Raw genomic sequence first — 5,295 nt, 5'->3', positions numbered from 1 at the left:
CACCAGATTTCTAAATTACAAAAAAGAATTTTGGGAAGATTTCTATGTTGCTCAAACTCTGAAGAGTATCATATGGAATACTTTTAATATATTATATGATAAATAATATATGTGCTATATCATAAATGAAGTATTCATATTGAAACTTGAATGCATTACTTCTCTTGTGGTTAGTCCATACATTAGACTCAACTACAAAAACAGAAAAAAGCCTTATTTTCTTTTTTTAAGAAATTTAAAAGTTATAAAAATCATATTATTTAACAAAGTAAAATGCCTTTGGGACAACATAGATAATAGGCTATTTCCTTTGAGCATAGTTTTCTCAAAAATCATAAATATATGAGTTTCTAGTTATGTATAGATTTTGTTAAGCATTGGCATTAAGAAGTCAGGGTATTTTGCCACAGTATTGACACACATTATGAAATTTGTGAAACCAAAATAATTAAACCTCCAGCATGCAACAACTTTGTTAACCAGGCAATTAAACAATCTACAGCACATTTCTGTATGAAAATGAGGAGAAAAAAGGAAACTAGCATTCTGTGTTTCTTTAAAAATTAAATAGAAAAAGAACTATTAAAAATCATTTTTGCTATGTATTAACAATTTTAAAGAACATCAATTATACAGGAAAAGACCAAGAAATGTATTTACATAGAGCCACACATAACAATGGTACCCAGGTAAAGTCATCTATAATTACCGGCAGCAAAGTCAAAGAATTTGTTGTCAAATACTTTAGGAAATTATGCAACTATCCTAAGGATAATATAGGGCTCTTATAATCTGTAGTAGTCAAGCATTCTTCTAATGTGTACAAACGATCTCAGGTTTATGGTGCTCCATGAACCTGGGGTATAATATGACAGTCAAGCTGTGAGGACTTCAGCACACCATAGCCTCTCACACCTGTCACACTAGGTGTGAGTTTTCTTTTACTTCTGCCACAAATTCATTAACCTCAAACTCTGTTATATATGTTTCCTTAAGATGTCTTCCCTTCCTTTCCCTTCCCTTTTTTCTTCTTCTTTTCTTTTTTCCAGGAAGATGACATAGCAGCTTTTGCATGGTAACTAATTCCCAGTCCTCAAAAAATCATGATTTGAAATTGCAGGAATCATTATTTTGATTCCCACACTATCCTAAAGGCATACTCACTTTTACCAGCAAGTCCTCTGAGGTGTCTTGCTGTTTCTTCTAGTCTCCATTTCTGGCAGTTTTCTGTTTGTTCATTTTGCTTTCTGTACAGGACTCATCAAGGAGTGACATCCCATCTCTTTGGTAGAACATTCCTCTGTAGTAGATCAGATGTCTTCTTTCCTGAGGCAGTCATCTAGTCTGACTTTTCTGGATATTATGTCTGGTTAAATTTTTCACTTCTCACCTTCTGAAGATTGCTGCCTGTAAATTGAGAATACGGCTTTCTGGAATTCATTTAGTCTTGCTTTTATTCCAAGTAATGTTACTTTCTCTTCCATCTAAAATTTCCAAGTACTGTGCCAGATAAAATTTTATTTTGTCATTGATATATTTAGGCATATGTCAGAGACATAGACCTAGTGTACCATAATTAGTGACAGTTCTAGTACTAGGACTTAAATCTTTTGACCCTTATGCAATATTTCAAGCTTTGTGATGTCATATTCTAAGCTACTTTGTAGTGATTAAAGGCAGTGGATATGCCCCAAATTGTATTGCATTGCATTTAAATGTTTCACCATTGGAGACAGTTTATACTTTTGAGATAACAAAATTAATATGATAAACATTTAGAGTATAATATGTAACACATGGTTTCCAGTTATACATATTTATTTAAATTTTAGCACTAGAAGTCAAGGCATCTTGTCACATAGCATTAACAGGCATTAACACACAGTGGGTGCCTAACAGCAATAGCAGTAGTTCTGTTGTGAAATGCTTTGTAGTTTACACAGTACTTCCACATACATACACATATATGTTTTTAATACAAATGATATTCCTATTATTTTTTGTTATTGAGGATACAAAATGAGCTGAAGAAGTAATTCTTATGCCAATAAAAAACCAATTTGCCTCAGGAAAATTTGCTTCCAGAGCTTCTGCCACTACTATGTGTGGTAGATACAAAAAATGACTACAAGGCTTTCCAGCAAATACTAACAAGAAATTTAGTAAACTTTCAAATTCTTAGAATCTGAGCTGGCCCAGTGATCTTCCTTGACCAACAGAATGTAATAAAAATTACCTTGCGCTAAGCCCCAAGAGGTGTTGTAGCTTCTGCTCTCACATTCTTGGAACCCTATTATCATGTGACCAAGCAGAAGCTAGCATGAGAGATGGTAACTGATGTATGGCCCAGTCATCCCCATCATCTGGCTGATCATAGATGACCTATGAGTTGGGTCATCTGAGTTCAGCCAGCTTCAGCCCATCTTCCAACTGACTCCAGAGGGTTACATGAACAAGCCTGGCTAACATAGCTGAGCAAAGCCCAGAGCTGAAGAACCACCCATCAGCATTGTGAATTAAATGAATAGTTAGTGTTTTAAACCACTAAGTGTTTGGTTAGTTTATTATTTATCAAGAGATAACAGACACCCAACAATAGGCTCTCTATTCATTATGGCCATTACTATACACTATTTATTGATCATGACAACAACCCTGTTGTATGAGATGAGATTACATTGCTTACCTAAGAACACATAGTTGGTAATAGTAGAGTTGAATCCTCATCTCAGGTCTTCACAATTCACATTCCTACTAAGTCACCAAAATTACTGACATCATACAAACTTTCCATATTCATATCAGAATATAAAGAAAGATAAAATAAGACATCAGCATTAGAACAGAGAGGTCTTGGGTACACATGACTAAAATAGCTGTAATAAATATAACCATCAATTTAAAAAAAAGCTTTATTGATATATAATTCTCATACCATACAATTCAGGTGAATTGAAGTGTACAATTCAATGATTTTTAGTATATTCAATATGCAATCATAATCTCAGTCATTTTTAGAGTATCTTAATCACCAAAAAGAGAAATCCTGTACCTTTTACCTATCTCCCTTGCCCTCTATTTTCCCTAGCCCTATGAAACCACTAATCCACTTTCTATTTCTATATATTTAATATTCTGGACATTTTATATAATTTAAGTTATATAATATGTGCCTTTTGTGCCTAGATTATTTCACTTAGACTAGATTGGGTGTGTTCAAGGTAGCATGGCTGTAGATGATTATTCACCTAATGTTTTCAAAGTTCATCCCTGTGGTAGCATGTATCAATACTCTATTACTTTGTGTAGCTGAATAATATTTCATTATATATATATACATACATATATATACACATACATATATATATACATATATATACACACATATATATACATATATATATACACACATATATATACATATATATACACACATATATATACACATATATATACACACATATATATACATACATATATATACACACACATATATATACATACATATATATATATATATATATATATATATACACCATATTTTGTGTATCCAATTGTCTGTTGATGGGCCTTTTGGCAATCGTTAATTGTGCTTATATAAAGATTATTGTACAAGTTTTTGTTTGCCCATGTGTTTTAAGTTACTTTGGTTAAACAGTATACCTAAGACTAGAATTGCAGGGTCATTGGCAATTCTGTGTTTAACTTCTGGTGGAACCACTAAAATTGTCCCCATCAGCTGCACCATATTACATTCTCACAAGCAGTGTATAAGGATTCCAATTTTTGCCAACACTTGTTATTATCATTTGAAAAAATTATTATTCCAGCCATCCTAGTAGGTATAAAGTGGCATCTTATTGTGGTTTTGTGTTTTACTAATGACTAATGATGCTGAACATCCTGTCAGTCACGTGGTTTCTTGACCATTTGTTTATCTTTTATGAGAAATGTTTATTCAAGTTCATTTATTTTTTGATTGAGTCATGTGTCTTTTTGTTTTTGAGTTGTAAGAATACTTTATATATTCTGAACACTTCATCCTTATAAGATATATGATTTACAAGTATCTTCCCATTCTGTATACTATCTTTTCACTTTTTTGATAGTATCTATTGACAGTGTCCTTTGAGGGACAAAGGTTATAAAAAAATGAAACTCGGTAAAAATTTCATTTATCTAAAAATATCTAAAAAATTACAAATTTTGAAATTTTTCATCTAAACATTTTTGCAAAGTTTTATCTATTTTTTTCTTTATTGTGTATGCTTTTGGTGTCATATATGAGACTATTGCCAAATCCAAGGTCATCTAGGTTTACTCCTATGTGTTATAGTTTTAGCTCTTACCTGTAAGTCTTTGATCCATTTTGAGTTTTGTTTTTTGTTTTTGTTTGTTTGTTTGTTTGTTTTTGAGATGGAGTTCCGGTCTTGTTGCCCAGGCTGGAGTGCAGTGGCATGATCTCGGCTCACTCAAACCTCTGCATCCCATGTTCAAGTAATTCTCCTGACTCAGCCTCCCAAGTAGCTGGGATTACAGGCACTCGCCACCATGCCCAGCTAATTTTTGTATTTTGGGTAGAGATGGGGTTTCACCATGTTGGCCAGGCCAGTCTCAAACTCCTGACCTCAGGTGACCCGCACACCTCGGCCTCCCAAAGTGCTGGGATTACAGGCATGAGCCACCGCACCCAGCCGAGTTAATTTTTATAAATGTTGTAAATAAAAGCTCAGTGCCGCAATGAAGATGAACAAAAGAAAGATTCCTCAGCAAGGCAAATTTACTTCTGCAGAAGTGTGCTGCTCCCATGTCTGACTGCTGAGAGAGCACACTGAGCTGGGTAGGGCAGGGGTTTTCATCCCTAATGCAGCAGGTCCTGGAGCTGTGTCCTTTCCCCATTGGCTGGAGTAGGATGCACAATCTAAGCTGACCCGATTGGCTACTGTTTAAAATTGAATAGGGCTAACTAGGCGGGAAGGGAGAGGCTGTCCATTACAGTTGAAGGCATGTCCGGGCATGTTAGGGCACAGCAAAAGTGGGAAGGGTGGTTCTGGCAGGAAAGACAATTGCAGAGCAGGTAATCAAGGGAATAGATGTAAATTACAGATTAGGGCTGGTGGGAAGGTTATGTACCATAACTAGGGAGAGGGAGAGGTACAAAGAACGAGGAAGTTAGGCTTGAAAATAGAGAACAAAGAACAAGGAGGCTGAGCAACCCGTCTCTTTGAAGAGGAACTTACTGTACCTAACATAAATGATGTGAGTTAAAGGTTCAGCTTCATTCTTTTGCATGTG

The 5,295-nt window shown here is 34.7% G+C and overlaps 1 annotated feature.

Annotated features, from left to right (window-relative positions):
* Positions 4,454–5,295: part of an enhancer, noted in NCBI's record as "MED14-independent group 3 enhancer chr6:115391597-115392796 (GRCh37/hg19 assembly coordinates)", that runs on past the window's edge. NCBI's record gives its function as "activates an origin of replication core promoter dependent on BRD2, BRD4, P300/CBP and CDK7 cofactors, and independent of MED14, by STARR-seq in HCT116 cells {active_cell/tissue: HCT116}" and the evidence as "EXISTENCE:reporter gene assay evidence [ECO:0000049][PMID:35650434]".

Source organism: Homo sapiens, chromosome 6 (genome assembly GCF_000001405.40).
Source record: "Homo sapiens chromosome 6, GRCh38.p14 Primary Assembly".
NCBI classification, from domain to species: Eukaryota; Metazoa; Chordata; class Mammalia; order Primates; family Hominidae; genus Homo; species Homo sapiens.
The sequence above is the reverse complement of the archived record's forward strand: the minus strand, read 5'-3'. Positions and strand labels throughout refer to the sequence as shown.